The sequence below is a fragment of the Homo sapiens genome, chromosome 3, assembly GCF_000001405.40.
Source record: "Homo sapiens chromosome 3, GRCh38.p14 Primary Assembly".
In the NCBI taxonomy this organism is placed as follows: Eukaryota; Metazoa; Chordata; class Mammalia; order Primates; family Hominidae; genus Homo; species Homo sapiens.
This window is the reverse complement of record NC_000003.12, coordinates 158,215,072-158,235,532: the sequence shown is the minus strand read 5'-3', so window position 1 is coordinate 158,235,532 and position 20,461 is coordinate 158,215,072. Positions and strand designations below refer to the sequence as shown.

General features: G+C 34.2%; 1 protein-coding gene across 6 annotated transcripts in view; it reads right to left on the bottom strand.

The window, feature by feature from the left end:
• The window catches only part of RSRC1 (arginine and serine rich coiled-coil 1), a 435,642-nt gene that overhangs the window by 310,198 nt on the left and 104,983 nt on the right, over positions 1-20,461 (bottom strand). The window contains exon 5 of one of the 6 annotated variants that reach the window (XM_047448274.1): positions 9,800-9,876. The exons of the other annotated variants lie outside the window; for them this stretch is intronic. Within the exon in view, the coding sequence (XP_047304230.1) occupies positions 9,800-9,876 (77 nt within the window). The remainder of the gene's footprint in view (positions 1-9,799; positions 9,877-20,461) is intronic. 6 annotated transcript variants of the gene reach the window in all.

Here is a 20,461-nt window from a genome sequence, read left to right as displayed (position 1 = left end):
ATTTGTATCCTAACATATCTGAAATAAAGATGCATCTTGCATTAGCTGGGGTCTTAAAATTAATTGGCACTGTTTTTTTCTTTCCTAGTAACACATATAACTATAATTGACCACATCTTAGATTCAGTGAAATAATATTTTTCTACTAATGTCCACTGAACTAAAGCAACGGCATCCCTTGTACTACTGGCATCATATTCTGATCTCTAAATATCATTTCTGACCAAAAGTAATCAGGGTTATTTGCATAAGTGGCTGATTCCAGACTCTAGGACAAACAATGTTCAACCTGAGACTGGGACAGAATGTAAAAAATCATTTTTAAACTAATGAGTTCATTAGTTTAAAAACTAAATAAAAACAACTCTATGCATCATAGTGACACTCAGAATGGAAAAAACAAAACTCAAAAGAAAAATCGCTCACTACTACTGGGTGGTGGCTATTATATTATGTTTGATTTAAACATAATTCCCCCAACATCACCATGAATTTCCATCTGTGTAACCCTGCTGTTCTTAAGCAGTCGGCAGTTACCTCATGCTCTGGGCTATATTCACCTTGCATGTATGGAAACTGTGATTGGCTATATTGGTTCTATAACAGAGGTTTCATTAAAAAGTATTCAATGTCTACAGAGACTGAATATACATATCAAAATATAGGCCATCCATGCATAGGAACTTACAGTTAAATGGACTCACGACTAACTAGGACATTTAAGAAAGAGTGATTAAAGATTTGTACAATAAAAAATCTTCGTTTGTTTCTATTTGTCACCATGATTATTTCAGTTCGAAGAATATATACAAAGACCAAAATATTTAAGTGAAGAAAAGAGGAACAGGGAGAAGAGGATTGGGGAGGGCAACAGAAAGACAGAAGAGACAAATGTCAGCCTCTGCCTATAAGTTATATATCCTTTTTAAAAAAAATATGAGGAAGAACAACAAAAACTATACTAAGACCAATAATTTCCTATATAAGTTCCAATAAAGTCTCATTCATTTCAATGATATCATTAAACCATCACTAATATCAATTACCTTTTTTGTAACATCTAACCATCAAAACATGAATCATCAAATGACTAAAGAAGTTCTAAATAATGTTTTTTATATATCTTCAGTTAGAGACCTAAAATATCACTACAAAATTTACATAATCATTGCTATCACAAGGTGGAAGCTAAACTTCAGTTTCTGATTATCAGTTTAACCTTTAAATCTCCCGATTAAACTCTGTCTTCATTACTAAAACCCCAAATTATCAAACAAGCCACAATATAATATATGCTATAGCACAGGTCTTCTTGTGAATAGCTGGGATCTTCAACTGCTTCAGCTGCAATACAAGCCATTGAGACTTGGCTGATACAAACCAATTTGAATAATCAATATGACAACCTTATTTTTCTAATGCAAACAGGATTGCTACAGTAAGGTGTCTCACTGTCACATCACAGTCATGGCCTCTTTTAACCCCTAATTAGATTGAGGCGATTATCCCTGCTCTTCCTTACAAGTGTACAGCTTGGATAAGGGATGACAAAAGCTATCTGCCACTTATTCAGCCTTTGCAGACAGCAGGTTATCCAGGGAGATAGAGAATAAGATCAACAAACAATTGTTATTCATATCATCATCTAAAGTGTTAAGATAGTCACAGTTTCCATACATGGAGAATGAATATAGCCCAGAGCATGAGGTAACTGCAGACTGCTTAAGAACATCAGGGTTACACAGATGGAAATTCATGGTGATGTTGGGGAATTATGTCTAAATCAAACTCATTTGCATAAAAAGAAATGATCAGGGGTTGTCTTTTGTATATAATATATCAAGATTTCATTATGTTTCTCTTCATGAATTCTTTGAAGCAAATTTGAATATTGATTTCTCTAAAACACATAGCATTTATCATGAAAAGAATGCCAAAATTAATGCTTTGCAGAAGCTTAAATGCTTTAAGATCGAATTAAAACACTCTAAATACAAAACAGGAAACTTCTTTTCACTTTGATACTACACAAGTGCTTGTATTAAACTTAGATAATCATGAGTTATTTCATTAACTCAGATTCCTAATGTTTTTCTTAACTCTCATAACAATCAGTTTCTCCAGTTTTGATCATCACTTCAGACCTGCTGTTAACAAGACAATTGCAATCACTAGAAAATATCTAAGAGTAACCACAAAGACACCAAACTGATAGCTTCCTACTAAGTTTAACTATGCTATAATAATTTCAGGAAAATATAGACGGCTTTGGCCCACTGATATAAAAACAAATAAACAAATAAAAAACCACTGGTGGTGGGAATATCTGAGTCTACTCTGAAGATGATAGTGTCAAAGAAGTAATAGGAAAATGTTGGAAAGGAATTTATGTCTTTCCCTTCTCACTTGCAACAGTCAGTTTGTGTCTTTTTTTAAGGTCACAATCACATTGCTGAAAGGAAAAGAATGAGAGGGTCACAATTTACTGGATTCCATTTCTGTTTTTTAATTATTCATTCAGTAACTCAATCAACATTGTTTCCTTTAGTCAATTAGAAACATTCTTTTTCTAACACTGAGGACGAAGCTCAAAGCTTCATGCAACACCACTCCAAGGACAACCAAAACATTTAAAATATCTTCATGGGTAGTAAAAACATGTCATATAAGTATAAATCTGATTTTTGTAAAGAGGCATGAGTTACTGAGCCCAGCTTCTCACCTGAAGTGCTGTGATTACTTGGTTATGAGTAGATCATTTTGCCAAGCATTATCTGGTTAGATTCAGTGACTACCATTCTCTCTGAGGAGGGCAAGATTATCTAAAATTATGCCGTGCTCCCCAGACATAGGCTAAAACATGACTTCATTCTTAAAGTTCAATACTAACTTAAGATATTGAGCAGGTGTTATAATACAAGCCATAGTTCACTTCTACGTATCTCTAGAGCACTGTCCTTGGACACTGAAACCCAAGGTTCTATATACTTGTTTATAGAAAGCGTATAGTCAACAATTTCAATGTAAACATCTAATTTCAAGCAACGTGTTCACAGATGTTCTTGTGAGTATGGTGGTGACTATCCCCACCTGTCAAGTAACATGCTTTTCTTATAATTTCCCATATATTTACTTTTGTGAAAAGGAACTGATAAGAAAAAAGAATTGTCAAAAATATGGGACTACTTTTTGTTAGATACGATAAAATGTATTAAGTTTACTTAAACTAAATGTTAAGATTTGATCAGTTATAATTTTATTTCTCTAAGCCATTTATGGTTTTAAATATATATCTTTTTAAAGTAAATATAAATCACAAAAATGCACTGTAGATTTTAGACTACTATTTTAAGAATTTAGCAAAACATATGCTGGTAAAATTACATAAAGCCAAAGTACTAAACAAAAACATATAGCAAGCTGTTTTCAATTAGCTTTCTATTAATATAGAGATAAATCATCAGTGCTGAAATTCAAAACATTAAAACAGAAAAAAAGTAACAACAAGTGACATTTTAGCCTATGGGTAAAAGAATAATCTCACTCCTACTGTCTTATTTTAATAAGTCTCTATTTTTCATGCTGTTTTACTATTTTTCACTTTTCTTTGTTCTTTCATTCAGAATTTTATATTGTGCTTGAAGAGTTAGTAGTAATTCTGTATTAAAAGTACGGTAAAGTAATAGACTCTTGAATGATTTGGGAAATAACAAAGTGAAAATTAAATAGACATGTAAAACTACAGATTTTCACTTTCCCTCCAGCCCAATTTTCTAAAAAACTTCAATATAGTCAGCATGTCTCAATAATACTCTGACTCAAAAGAAATAATATATTACTGCTTGTTGCTTTGATCAAAGGCAATGCAGCATACTATAATTTTAAAAACATAAAAGTTGAGACCCAAAAATAAAAGGACCATATTAGACCTTGTCCAATCCTGGATTTCTAAAGAGCAGCATCATGGCCACAAGCGAGTTACACACGTGACCAGAGAATTAGAAAATGCTAACTTCAAATAAAAGTCATTTATTCAGGATGTGGGCCTTAGTAATTTTGAAGCCATTTTATGTAGAAATAACTACATAAAATAACTTGGTCGGGCATGGTAGCTCACACCTGTAGTCCCAGCGATATGGGAGGCAGAGGTGGGATGATCGCTTGAGTGCAGGAGTTTGAGACCAGCCTTGGCAACATGGTGAAACCCCATCTCTATTAAAAATACAAAAATTAGACGGGTGTGGTGGCACGCACCTGTAATCCCAGCTACCTAGGAGGCTGAGGCGGAAGGATGGCTTGAAGTTGGGGCTGTAGTGAGCTGAGATTGCACGACTGCATTCCAGACTGGGTGACAGAGTGAAGACTGTCTCAAAAAAAAAAAAAAAAAAAAAAAAAGCTAACGACTAGTTATTCTTCATCTCTACTACAGCCAAGAAATAGGACAACAGATTTAGGCTAACTACAGGAAAGCATTTCTATAGTGTGCTAAACACGAGAATAGGCTTCTAAAGGAGACTGGAATTTTCTTGTGTCAAGGACTTTAAAAGTATACATTCTAATCCTTCAGGAAAACTTTCTTTGAAGGCAGGAGAAAGGACGTGTGACAGTCCTTCTCATCTTAAAATACAACTCACCTTGAATCCATGTATTTATCTAATATCATGTCATGCTTTTTGTATTTATGTTTCATAATTTACAATTTATCTAAGAGGAGTATACAAATAATGAAGTATTCCAGATTTGATATGGAAGAGCGGTAATAAAAACAATGAGAGTAATCATATGAATAGGGTGCAGTACTGCAAGAGAAAAGGAATAAAATATGAAAACTCTTAAGAAAACAAAAATATTATAATTCTGTATCATAACAACTCTTTAGGTAAGTTTTAAAATATAGCATCTTCTAATAAGACAGTATGTATACAGACTATGAATAATAAACTTCCTAAAATTGCTGTAGCAGAATGATATGTTTTATTTCATTTATTCACTTAACTTCACTCTGTTGCTTCACCATATTAAACAAGACCCTGTTGTTTTGTTTTGTTTCCCAAATGAGGAAGAAGGAACATATATGGAGAAAATAAAGCACGTAATTTATTGAGGAAGAAACGTGGGCTTTAGAAATATTACCACTATAAAAATTATCTTTGCTTAGACTGCCAAATCAGATTTTAATTGGACCTTCATGAAATGATCAAAGTTAACATTGCCATTAATGGGGCAAACCAACATCCTGTGATTTCTGATATGATGTACTAAACAGGACATGATACCACTTTTTTGGTATTCCTGGCAAAAAAGAAAGAAAGAAATACACAACCTGATTCCAATCATGAAGAAACATTAGACAAACCCAAATTGAGGCACACAGTATAAAACAACCAGGCTATACCTTAAAAAATATCAAGGTAATGAAAGACAAATAAAAACTGAGATACTGCTCTATATTAAAGGAAACTTAAAAAGACATGACAACTAACTGCAGTATATGATCCTAGATCGCATCCTAGGTGAAGGGGAGCTGTGATTGATGCATCAATAGGAATATGACATTAACTGGGACCATGGACTGCTGGACTATGAACTCCGGCTTAGAAAATCATATTGTACAAATGTTAAATTTCTTAATTTTGATTATTGTACTTTAGCTATGTAAAAAATTCTTACACAGAAATATTAGGGCTAAAGAGACTGGTGCCTGCAACTTACTCTTCACTGGTTCAGACAAATATACATGTGTGTAGTCAAGAGAAACAAAGAGAATTTGATAAAGCAAATGGGGCAAAATGTAAACAATTGATGAGTCTGGATAAAGGGCATATACAAGTTCTTTATGCTCTTCTTGCAACTTCTTTGTTAATGTGAAATTGTATCAAATAAAGAGTTTCAAAAATATTTTGACTAGGCATATTAACTCCCACACAGTGCTTTCAATCACAACCAGAAACTTACCTCCTTAAAATTTGACAGCTCTAAAAAAAAAAAACAAAAAACACACACACACACAATTAAAAGGCAAGGAAAGGTTACTCTAAAAAATGTGTGTTTGTGAATATAATTATGTATATACATACACATATACGTGTGTATATGTGTATATACATACATACATACACATATACGTGTGTATGTGTATATATATACACATACATACACATATACGTGTGTATATGTGTATATATATACATACATACACATATACCTGTGTATGTTTATATACATACATACACATATACGTGTGTGTATGTTTATATACATACATACACATATACATGTATGTTTATATACATACATACACATATACGTGTATGTGTGTATACATATATACACATATATGTATGTTTACACATACACATATGTTTATATACATATATACACGTATGTATGTTTATATACACATATACACGTATGTTTATATACACATATACACGTATGTGTGTTTATACACACATATACACGTGTTTATACACACATATACACGTATGTGTGTTTATACACACATATACACGTATGTGTGTTTATACACACATATACACGTATGTGTGTTTATACACACATATACACGTATGTGTGTTTATACACACATATACACGTATGTGTGTTTATACACACATATACACGTATGTGTGTTTATATACACATTACACGTATGTGTTTATATACATATATACACGTATGTGTGTTTATATACATATATACACACGTGTGTCTATGATCATAGACATATATACACACATATATATACACACACACATATATATATACACACACACATATATAAACAACAGCCCTAGAACACTATCTACTTCATTTAGAAACCTGGAATTTATAAAATCGTTATCAGCACAAAAATAAGTTTAAAGCCTGGTAGATGTATTTTCAGTCTTAAACTGCTTTCATCTAATGATAGTTTGATAAATCACAATAGCCTCAATTTTTTTTAAGGAATTTTATCAATAATGATAGTCGAATTCAGGTATTATAATGGAAAAGTTATGATATGGGATCTAAAAAGAGGGTTTCCCCCCATTAGTTTCAGAATATAAGAATCTAAAGTTATCCAGATTCAAACTCTATGTAGTTCTCAATGGTTTACTACCTTATATAAACAAAATTATAAAGGTAATACTACCCTCTTGGGATAACTGCTCAATTAACAAATATCTAAGGACCTGCCTATTCTTTGTTAAAATGCAAGAAAAAGAGGGCCTGAAATTGCTTCACTGAAGCACCAGATTACTTATTCCCTGAGTATTCTGTCATTCTTTTACCAGGTCTGTCAGCATCCATCCCTTTCCTAATAGTTAAAGAATACCATCATTAAAGTTCCCTATGGAGATTTTATTATGTTCAGATATGACAAAGTAAATTTTCTTATCCACTAAAATAAGAAGCATCTTACTGTAATTTTTATAATTCTAATTACTTCCTTGATTCAAATCGATGAATTTAATTTTTGAATAAACTAGTTCCCCAACACATATGTTGGGGAAGTATGATAAAAAAATCTATTTAACTTAGGTGGGTGCAATCAGCAATGGTTTGCACCTCATTTTGGAGAGCACTATTCTATACAACAGGGTTTGGCAGTCTAGACCAGGAGGTGACAAACTATAGCCCTCAGGCCAAAGTGGTCCCACTGCCTATTTTTGTAAATAATGTTTCCAGCAACACAGACATGCCTATTCATCTATTGTCTATGGTTTCTTTCAAACCACAGGAACAGAGTTAAGTAGTGGTAACAGAGATTGTATGCCCACAAAGCTGAAAATATTTACTATCTGGACTTTTACAGAACAAAGTTTCTGATCCCTGGTCTAGAAAATTAATTCACATTTCTCTCCAATGCTTTCCAAATAGCCTTTCAACTTACTGAATCGTAACATATGATTCTTCTAGACTAGTGGTTTTCAAACTACCTTTGCCTGTTTGGCAGGACAGTAAAAGAGTATCAGTGTATCTACCTACCACCACCAAGGCTCTTCTTTTATTCATTTTATATCATGTGATCCTCAATAAGATTTCCTTTGCACAAAGGTTTATATAGTCAATAACAAAAATCAAGGGAGGAAGACAAAGATGGAGGAAAAGAGAGATGAAGGGAGGGAAGAGAAAAGGAGTAGGGAAGAGAGAAAGGGAAGGAACGGTAGAAAGCAAAGGAAGAAAATCGGCGGAAAGAAGCAATTTTTAAAAGCTTGAAAACCACTCGTCTAATCTTGGGGGCAGAGGGAAGAGGGCAGGACAAGGAGGTCCATATTTAGTAACTGAGTTTGTATTCAGCACTGGAGCTTGGACTAGGACACAAGTCTCTTAACACACAGTGTGTTTATATAGTATACAGCATGTATTCTGAATAGGGGCAATAACATCCCCAAGCAGTTGAAAATTGGTTAAAGGAGGAGGGATAAAGGAAACCTTAGATATTACCATGGTTTTTGTCCTCCAAAGCTAAACCAACCCAACAAAATCTTATATCTTAGTATTTAATTTTCTTACTTTCTCTTTCATTTAATTATAAATAATATTAAATTAATTTACATTTAACTTAATTTTTTCTCCTTGTGGGGCAGTACAGAAAAAAGGCCAAAAACGCTAATACATGAAAATATTTCTCAACCTTAAGTTCCCTTTACACAAAATTCTACAAGTCTTTTATTTACTAACATATACATTTCAACATCATTTTGGGTTCCAGTATGCACAAACTACAAATCAATCCTGTTATGGACAGTCTAAAAAGATGAAACTCTGGGTGGATACAGAAAAGGGAGGGAAGGTAAAAGGGCAAGAAGGAGTAGAGGTTTTTGCAATAAAAACTTGTAGAGGAAAATAAGCCTGGGACTCAGAACTGCACACCCCTAACATTTGTAAGAAAGGGGATGCTGAGTCATGTACTTTACCATGGAGTCACTGTGGACAAAAGTGCAAATAACATTATATTACACTAGACACAGGGCACACAGATTGAGAAAGACCTACTCAGCAATGTCAAACATCCACCTGTTATCTCTTGAACCAAGGTGGGAACCAATGGATATAAGCAACAGTTACATATTCAGAAAAGAAAGATGGAAAGACTCTAATGTAAAGGGATAAAAATGGCAATTTATTATGCTGATTACTAAGCTATTGCCTTAGCCATACACCTACTGTGGCCGGGACTTTCAAATGATGTTTCCCTTCTGCCAGCTAGCTAGCTCCCTATTAGGTTCTGCTAATAGAGGTTGTTAGAGGAAGAATGAATAGTAGGAGAAAGTGAAAAGGGCTTCCCTGTTTTACTTGCTGATCCTGTCAGAGTTGCCCCACCAACAACTCTTTGAAGGAAATAACTCTTTAATATTAGTTCTAATTTCTAAGAGTTTTTTTCACCTGTCCTTTCAGATCCAGACCCATTCCATTCCCTCAGAGGAACCAGCAGCAGCCAAACAGTATCCATTCCTCAAAAAAGTCTAGGGCCTAGCGCAATGGGGACCCTCCCACAAGCCCTTGAGGTACCAACACTAGTGAAGTAACACCTTTGCTTCATTAGAGGCCTGGGTCTCAGTTCTGCCATTCCCTAAGTTACTATGTGCTGATAATACTAACCTCTTCTCATTTCCCTAGAATGGGTACCTAATTTCTATTACTTAATATCTGTTATCTCAATGTTTTCTTTTGTACCATTCTCTAGTGTGTTTTCCACCTTCCAGGTTGGACTCTGACTGATATAATGCTATCAAGTAGTCCTTATTTTAAAGGTAATTAATGTTCTACTGAATGTAAAAATGTTTCTAAGGGCTTGTATAGGTTTACTCACAATTTGGTCTTCCTAAAACTTTTCTCTTCCTGTTAGATGTAAGTTTCTTTTTCCTCTCACAATTCTTTTGGTGAAATCTGTGAGAAAGTCCCAAATAACTCATTAATATACCTATGATGCTTCTACTTTAATCCGTCTTTATAACTTTTAATTGCCTCCAAACCAAAAGGGGTGTAAATCTTACTTTTTAACAAGACAAACAAACTCTCTGGCTCTGGGCAGCAGTAACTGAACAGGAGGCAATGAAAAGTGGGAGAGTACTTTAATCAGTCATTAAGGGGGAGCAAGTTCAACAGGGCATAGAGCAATTGGTTGAAACTTAAAATCCTGGGAAAATTCCTTGTATTTACTGATTAATACATATGTATTTAATATATACTGGTGTTAATCATAGTAGGGAGATACAAAATCTCTAAATACAAAACCCATACCTGTCTTCAATAAGATAAGAGTTACTTAGACAACTACGTAACTTAAAATATCAAAATCTCACCCTGCTAGCTATCTTGGAAAAATGTATCACTTAACCTCTGGTGGTCACACTCTACTCATCTGCAGGGAAACAGGCTAGACTAGGTCTCTCTTGCTATACATCTACCATGATGATCTGTAAAAAATATTTTTTGTACTGAGGCAGAGGAAACTCAGTATCATTGTCAAGACAGACAAAAAGACTAGTTTTCTAAAAGGAAGATGAAAATTATCAAGATTGGTACTTCAAAAACCTCATTTGAAAGAGATTTGAATATACCGTATTTCTACTATCACAATATTTATAGGCATTTACTTAGCCAGAAAGGATACTTCTTAAATTCTCTTCAAAATAGAAAATATCCTTTGTTCTTTTTCAGTTGTTAAAACAGTTTTAATATTCTTCTCTCAAAATAAATTTATCACCTGCTATACAGTAGACCATACATTTCATAGCTTGTTCATAAAAATAATTATATCTAAAATACTAGTTGAAGGTTAATACAATAGATGAGATCATTTACCATTGAAAATATCTTTCAAATGTTGTGAACAATTAGAGTTAATCCAATGTAAAGTGGAGGGGAGGGGAGGAAAAGACTCCAATTCTGATTCTTTGCTTTATACCCCACCTGCACTGCTACTTAACCTTGACATTTATACAGAGGAAATGAGAAAGCCTTTAATTCCTGGAATATGGATTTAACCATCCACTCTTTTCACAAAAGAAATTCTGTGATTTCAAAATTAAAAATAAGCCTTAGTACTCAAGTGCTACCGTTAGTACAAAAATCAAGTTGCAGAAATCTACATAGCATAATCCCATTTATATAATATATTGAACACTATTATAAACATACAGATGAAAGCAGAGAAGCACAAAATCATGCATGTAAATTCTAATTCCTAATTCTGAGGAACAGGATGGGGGAAATGTGGAGCAGAGTGGAAAAAAATTTAACTTAAAATATTCTACATTAAATTTTAAAGCGTATGCTGACGATAATTTTTAAAAATCAAAATTTTATCTTAAGAAATGAAAGTTACAGATAAAGGTGATGAAGAAACCTGAGATTTAAATCCAAGTGACATATTTAGTCATTAAATTCATTTATGTATAAATCTTACTTCAGTACCATTTATGCATCAAGCATTATTTATATGTTCTGCAGATATAGCAGTGAACAAGGACCCTTCCCTTCTGAAGTTTATATTCTGGTGGGAGTACTAACAAGATGATTACACACTGTGATAAGTACTCTGAAGGACAGAAACAGAATATAGAGTAATGGGGTAGGGACAGCTAATTTACAATCAGTGTTCAGGAAAGGTCTCTTTAAAAAGATTACACTTGAAGTAAAAACTAAATAATGAGAATGAGAACCATATACAAAGACCCTGGAGGAGGCATTCCAAACAGAGGCAACAACAATTGCAAAGGTCTAGAGAATGGAAAGAACAGTGTGGCTACAGCATCTTGAGTGGCGTGAGATAAACTGGAGTGCATGAGCCTGTGGTACTTTAATGTCCAAAATAAAAACTTCAAAAAGAAGTCACTAAAGGATTTAAGCAGAGGAGTGACATAACATGACTTACATTTTTAAGAAATCCTTCTGCACATTGTGTGGATAATGGATTATGGGGAGGACAAGATTGAAAGCAAAAAAAAAAATCAGGAAGCTAAACTATAGATCAGGTGGCAAAATGATGACGGGCTTGGTCTGTATCAGTGGAGATATCACTCCACTCAAGATACCAGTGGAGACAAAGAAGATAAATAATAATTATTAGAGTTTGAATTTAATCATTTGTTTGACACGTATGGAAATTTGTTTTCTTTTCTTCTGTAAGTACCTACATAATATCTTTGATTTTGCCTCTCAGCCTGAAAAGCCTAAAATATTTACAATCTGGCCCTTTACAGAAAAAGTTTCCTGAACCTAACCTACAGAGTCTGAAAAATGATGGAACCCCCTTACCAAGTCTAGAGATGCTTCAACATTTGCAGAGGCAAAAGACATCAGAGGAGTGGCCACTGAGATGGTATTGCAGATGATCAAGAGAGGAAGGTATTTCAAGAAAGAGGAAGACGAAGGGCATACGAGGAAGATCAAAGATGAGTAATGGACTGTGCTGAACATTGTTCAGAAAACCTACAAGATAAGAGAGAAGTGTCTACTGGATGTGGCAGAATAGAAGTCACTTGACAATGGAGGTTTCAGCGGAGTGGTAAGAACAGAAACTCAAATGTGCTGAAGAGTGAATAGGTAAGAAGTGGAATAAAGAAAATAAACGAAATTACTACTGAAATGAGGAGCAGAGAAATGGAATAGTGCTGGAGGAGATGAGAGGTCAAGTGAAAGTTAAGGGTTGTGTTTTGCTTTGTTTTTAAGATGCTGGTAGGAATTATCCAGGAGAGGAAGGAACTGATGTTGAACAGAGCACAGTTAGAAAAGGTAACGGGATTCAGAGCAAAATGATAAAAACAAAGACATTTCTTCCATTGACACAGAAAAGAATGATGCTAATTTGGGTCAGAAAAGAAGTAAATACAGCAAAGTGGTGATGGATAATAAAAAGTGGTATATTTAATGGTCAAACAATTTAAGAAGTGATACTAGAGTTACTGGTTTGGAAATATAAGGGGTGGGGGACGGAGAATGAATATATGCCATCAAGATTTGATTGGGGCATAAAGCTAATAATAATGACAAGCTTGTTAACTTGTTTAATTGACAAAAATTATATATATTTATAGTGTACAAACAAGATGTTGTGAAATATGTAAATACTGGGGGAATGACTAAACTGGGCTAATATACACACTACCTCATATACTTATTTTTGTGGTAAAAACACCTAATATCTACTCTCAGCAATTCTCAAGTGTATAATACATTGCTATTAACTATAGTCACCATGTTATACAATATGTTGCTTGGCTTGTTACCTTTTTAAGATGTGACTATAGGAGCAGATCCTTAGAAAGGATACAGGCAAAGATGGTTACATGTGAAAAAAATGGAGGCTATGTGACTGATAAGTAATATTACTAGCAAGTATCAGCATAGTCCCCCACAATTATGTGCTCCTCAGAATGTTTTGCACAATGTCCATAGTGCTCTATATGTAAATAACATTATAACTGATCGTAAACTGCCCCTCTTACTATTATTTACAATTAATCTAAATGCACACCAAAACTTATCAATCCCCTAAAAATGGCAATGGCTTTTAGAACTTTCATGGATACATTAGGTAATATAATAATACTGTCATCAGTTTTCCAAAACATTTGTACACAAGCATATCTATAACAGCCAAATACTGAAAATGTTGGAAGTATAGATAAATCAGCTTCATTATACGAATCTCTCCACATTTTTATGTTTCAATATTTCTATAATAAATACCTCTTTTAAAAAAATTAAGTATGAAGACTCTGGACTGGCAAACACAGTCCTCAGAATCTATATTTTTGATGAAAAGTAGGCTTCCCTATTTTGAAGAACTGGCAGGTTGAGCTCTGTAAAACTGCTTGAGGCAAAGCAATAAGCATAGGAAAGGCATCTACTTTATGAAATCTTTGTCCTGGAGTAGGCCCTACAAATCTTGCAAAACAAAGGAGTTCAAGTTTACTGTTCAGAAGAATACACTAAACATAAAAGATTATTAATGACTTACGAACTCCTAATGTAGCATGAATCATACCAGCAACACTAGAATATTGGTTTCAACAAGTAGACTATTTTATTTTATAAACTTCACTAGAATATTATCAACAGCAGTATTAGAAAATGGAAAGCTAATGAAATTAGGAAGCAGCATCGGCATACTGCATACCATGTTTCTCATCACTCTAATGCAGAATCTAATGGATGAGAAATCCATCTTTCAACTTAAAAAAAAAGCAGCCTATAAAGCTAGAAAAATAGACCACCATTTGACAAAGTTATTAGGGAATATTTTGCTATCTAAATTCAATAAACTGCATTAGTGGAACCAGTTTCTTTTATAAGAAAAGAGCAGCACACTTTCTTCTTGCTATTTATTATAGTTCCAAAGCCTGATTATCTTACTAGTGTTTTGTTTTCCTTTAGCAAGATCTGAAGTAGAAACCGACTAAAGATTAAAGAATTATAAATATTCTCTTTTTATAAAGATGTTTTCCTGACTCTATTATAGTCAGAGGATATTACAAATACTGAATAATATCAAATTTTCAGAAATCAATACTTTTCACCAATACTGGGTTGCCTACCTGTGAAATATGGCTTTTAATATCAAACCCTGATTTTATTTGATATCATGACCAAATATCTTTTCTGCAAAGTAAATGGTTATTAGTGATTTTTACTATGGTTCCCTAACAGCAAAGGCAGAATCCATGTTTAGGTGATTACTGTATGTTTTGATTCAGTTATCTGCAGGGTGTCTGCATGGTATTCTAACTATTTAAAGCCAGTAAAAAGATTACAGCTCACACTAACTGGATTTTCACAGCTCCCTATCATTCAGCTTGAATTCCTCATGGGCAGATTAAAAGGACCAAGGCAAACAATAGTCTTTTTAAAATACAAGGTGGTTATTAAAAGAAAGAAAGAAAGGAAGGAAGAAAAAGTATCCTTCATAGTCAAAACAGCAACAAAATTATTCAAGGAAGCAATCACATAAAAATAAACTTAAACATATGATAGAGGTAATACCCTGGGTGTTGGCATATAATCAATCTAACTCAATAAACTAATAGCACCCGAAAGAATTACAGTTTTTATTCTGAAACCTACTTCATAGAATATATGGTTTTAGGCTTTCAAGTTGGCTTTCGGTACGGCGTCAGAAGAACAAATTTGGAAAGACGTTGGCCATCATTTCATCTAACCTTCAGAGTACAGACAGATGGACTGAGGCCCAAAGGACTCAAGTGGCATTCCCAAGTCAACTATTGGCAGACTATCAAAGTAACTATGTATGAGTATTTCAAGTTCCTTTCTACTTTCACTTAACTACCTTCTCATTCCCACCTTCACTGACTTCAAAGGATCATATGACTTCCCTATCTACGATTAGCCCTTCCAGTGAGCCACGGATACAAACCCTTCCTTAATACATTATCTGTTTTAATCTTCATGCAAACATATGAAGTAGTAATGTTTATCATGGCCATTTTAGAGATAAACCAAGACTTGGAGAGATTAAGTGACTTGACTAGGATCACACAGCTAGTAAATGAAAGAGTTGGACTTAAAGGCAGGTCTACAAGACTTTAGTGTATAAGTTATTAACCACTGTGCTATACCCATTTCTCCATTAGCTTCTTTTCCTCATTTCATGAGGAAACCCCATTGATTTTCATTCTCTTCCATTGACTATTCAAACAATTCATCCAAATTCTATCCTTAGTGTCTCCACATTATCATTCAGTATTAAATAACTGGTAAGTTTCTGAACTCAAGTCAGATCAAGATCCACTTAGGTAACATTCCTTCCTTCTCAGCTGCCACTACCTTTATTAAGGCTTCATCATTACTCCCGCACATTACTTACCATAAGACTCCTAAATGGTCTCTCTCAGCCTTCAATCCATTCTCCTTAGTGTTGCTTCTCTAAGTTAAAATCCTTCAAGTCAAAAATCCTGTGGCACCTCCTCTTATATCCCTTTCTTATTTATTTATATTTCTTTTAGCCAGAATGAACTAAAGATCCCAAAAGGAAAGGGAATTTTTCAAATGTATATTTGTATTTGCCTATAATTTTATATAAAGAAACCCTAGAAGGATAACTAAAAAACTAATAAATGTAATTACATGGATTTTTAGGGAAAGAATAGGAATTGAGTGGATGGGGGAAAAGATGTAAATAAGACTCTGTACTGTATGTAAGCCCTTATATAATGTTCCATTCTGAAATATATCATCTATTCAGAAAAGGAGGAAGGAAAAAGAGGAGGAGAATGAAAGAAAGAAAACAAAAGAAAAAAAGGAAGAACCAACAATGCTTGATGTCACCTTGTTTCCAGAAGGTATTTTCTGTGTCTAACAATAAAAAGGTAATTACTCCCCAAAAAAGAGGAATAAAAATGGTTTCCTAAACATATAATAATCCCTCTCCTTTTAATCCTTCTGTTTTTCCCTTTCCTTCTCACTTCCTCTTCCATATTCTTCCAGATGGTTTAAGTGTCAACACCTCCAGAAAATCTTCCTTGACTGGCTAATTTTGGATTAAGTGTCCTTTCAATATGCTCCCCTAGTATAGTGGGCATCTTCTGTCACAGCACTCTTACTACATTGTTATCATTATTTGTGTGTCTGGCTTCCAAACTACATGGAAGTTTCTTGAGATCAAAGACCGTGTCTTATTCATCTTTGCAATCTCCAGTAACTACAATAGTGCCAGACACATTTTAACAGCATCCAAAGTAATCCATGGCACAATGCATTTATCTTTGTTGTGGCCCATGGGTCACATCCAGCAGTCACTGTGATTTAATCTTGCCATATGGAAGATATTGCTTGGGTTACTGCAGCCTCCCCTTTATAGGTTTCTGTAGTCATCAAGGTCCAAGTAAAATACCTAAAGAGTTAAGAATAAAACGGAATTGAAAACCTGAGACCATGTTAAAACTCTCCTGAGTTCTGCACCTACAATATATCCTCCTGACTACTTTCATTCTCCTCTTGAAAGTCCCAAAAGATCCTCAAACTCAGTATGTCCAAAGCAAATGTATGATACCCTGCCATCTTCCAATGTAATCCTTGCTCAGTAAAAAGTCTCACCATTGTTCCAATGATATAAATCAGAAAACTAATGGTTATCCTTAACATCTGCATCTCATTTACCAAATCAAACCTATCATTAAATACATAAATATGTCTCAAATTCAGCAACTTCTTTCCATCTCCAATGCCAAATCCCTGGCCCAAGCTACTATTACATCTCTCCTAGATTACTGTGCTACTTATCTGGTTTCTCCGCATCCACTCTTACTTATCCCTCTGCAATCTGTTTTCCACACTGCAGCTGGAGTGATCTTTTCAAAACACTAATCTGATCATGTCACCCATCAGATTAAACCACTTCAAAGGCATCCTGCTACCCTTAAGATAGAGACCAAAATCCTTAACCAGGTTTACAAGGCCCTGCATAGTCTAGCCCCTATCTGTTTCTCCGGCCCCATCTCAGACAGTGCTTCCCCTCCTCTCCATTCTAGCTTCTGTGATCATCTTTCAGTCCCTGTTCGTATCAGTGTCCCTCCATTCTAGAGGCCTTTGTTGATGATGTTTCCTCTCTCTGTAATTTTCTTCTCCCTGCTCCTTCCCTCACTAACTCCTACTCATCCTATTTCTTCAGGAAAGTTTGCCCCAACTATTCTAGGTCAAATACATCTCCGTCCCCACCATTATATTCTGCTCAAAGCACTACACATGTCTTATGCTTGGCTTTTTATTACTACTAAAAATGATATTTATGTGATTTCATATTTACAATTCCCCCCCCACACACACACACACTGGACCATAATTTCCATAATGTTAGGCACTATAACTATTATCCATCACCATGGAATGAATCTCCAAGACACAACCCAGTGCCTGGCATTTGATGAATAAATGACAAAATGGAGGGAGGGCATCAGCTAGGTGGTAATACCTAGGCTATCATCAGTTATCACTGTTCCTGCATGTGGGAAAGGTAGAGAATCCTCAGGATAATTAATTTAATGTGAGGAACCTAACATCATAATTTAGAATTATACTAAAATGCTTTCCTCTTCAATCCCAGAATATTGTACTCCTCCTCAATGAAGACTGGTGAGCAAATTTTCTACCACAAAAAAGGACTTGAGAGACCGTTTACTCCATGCCTCACATTTTATAAAGAATATAAAACTCAGAGATGTTAAGTGACCAGCCCAGTCACATGCAAGTGAGCAGAAGAGCCAACGCTAGAACCCACACATACCAGTCTAATGTTGTTTCTACTACATCTACTACAGTAACATATCACGGACTCTTTGGAGAAGAGGATTCTCATATTCTCAAAGAGTCATATCATGGACTCTTTGGAGAAGAGCAGTACTCGTTACTAATTTATATTCTAGCAACCCTGAAGGTACATACAACTTTGATCACATCTTTTAATTCTCCTCTTGGTGGGGAGCACTCATGAGATTAGTTTTGAATATATTGAACTTCAGATTCTAGACATGTCCAACAGGCAACTGTATAGATATAGCTGAAGTTCTAAGAATAGTTCTGGCCTACTTAAGACTTGGAAAATGGATTCAAGGACAGGAAGACTGTAAGCCAGATGCTAGTCTTTAGTGAAAAAGGAGCACTGCCTAACACATATTATGACAGCAAAATGAAGGGAAAGATAGTTTCATGGTGAATAGCATGAGCATCAGAGGAACAGGTTTTAATTTACTTAGTTCAAAATAAAGAGCAGACGAACAACGGTTTGGAAGGAAGAAGGGAAAGTAAGAAGGATAACAAATTCACCTCTGGACGCTCAGGTATGTGGGAGATAATAAAATAGGATGGAAATTCCCATTCTAGTAATGGTAGATTCGATAATTTGAATCAACCCTTTTTCTAAAGAACTATTACAATGGCTGGAAATTTTTTTAAACAATTTTTTGTTTGTTTGATGGCCTGTAAGAGTTAGCAATTTAACTGCTGAAACTAGATTAATATTATCCCGGATTACTCTCAGAGGCAACAGAAATGAATCCATTGAGACTACACATCAAAGTCATAGACTACAAAATAACTAAACCTAGTAGCTGAAAGAAGATAAACATAAAATTGAGAACTGGTGAAGAGGAAACCATAAAAAGAATACAAAAAATTAGAACTTCAAAAATATAATAAGGAAAATATAAAATATATTACAGAAAATTAAGAACTCAACAGATACACTTAGCAGATTAGACATAATAGATTTTTTTTAAAAAAAGAGAAAGTGAACTTAAGCTAATCATAAAAAAACAAAAACTGCCACATCATAGTAAAACTGCTAAAAACCAGAAACCCAGAACTTCTAAAACAAAATTGAGAAAGTCAGGGGAAAATAAAATTATGCCTTTATATTATGGAACTATTAAAAGTGATGGCAAAATCGCAATTACTTCTGCACCAACCTAATAAAATATATGTCTACTTATAATTCATTGCTCACTGAATTTCTAATAAAGGAGAAATACAGATATTTTCACACAAAATTTTAAAACCTGAGAATTTACAAAAATAATAAGGGATGCTCTTCAGGATAAAGAAAAATTATCTCAAGCAGAAGCTCAAAGATGAAAAATAATTAAAAGTAACAAAAATGGTAAGCATTTGCAAAACTTAAAATTAACCCTACAACACAAGAGAATGGTAAAATATCTGAGTAAAAGTAAAACATAATCTCCTCATCCTAAAATATCTTTGCCAGTTTAAAGCAAAAACTATAAACTTTGCCTCATGAGGTTTTCAGAATTAAGGATTAAAGGCTAGTTACATTTCCACATTCCAACTGAAGCAATAAAACACAGATTCTAAGTAGACTGTGAAGAATTAAGTACGTGTATTATAATTCCTAGGGCAACCACTAAAAAAATCTATATACAGAAATGTACTCAAAAATACAACAGAGAAATTAAAATGAGGTAATAAAAAATGTCCAAACAACCCATAAAAATATAGGAAAGGGAAATCAGAAATAAAACAGAGGAAATAAACAGAAAATTAATGACAGAAGGGAAGACCTAAATCCAAACATATCCATAATTATATTAAAGTGAGTCATGTAAACACACCAATTAAAAGACTAACTCTCAGAATGGATTTTTAAAATGAATACAAGGCCAGATGCTTTGGGAGGCCAAGGCAGGAGGACTTCTAGAGGCCAGGATTTTGAGACCAGCCTGGGCAACACAGCAAAACCTGTCTCTACATTTACCCAAAAAAAAAAAAAAAAACTATCTATATGCAAGAAACTCATCTCAAATATAATGATGTAAGCATGTTAAAAAGTAAATGATGGAAGATGGAAAAAGATATACCAGGCCAACACCAATCAAAAGACATCAAGAATAGCTATATTAATATCATACAATGTGTATTTTGTAGCAATAAAACTATGAAGAACAAAGATGAAAGCACCAAATCACCAAGAAGACAACAATCTTAAACATACACCAAATAA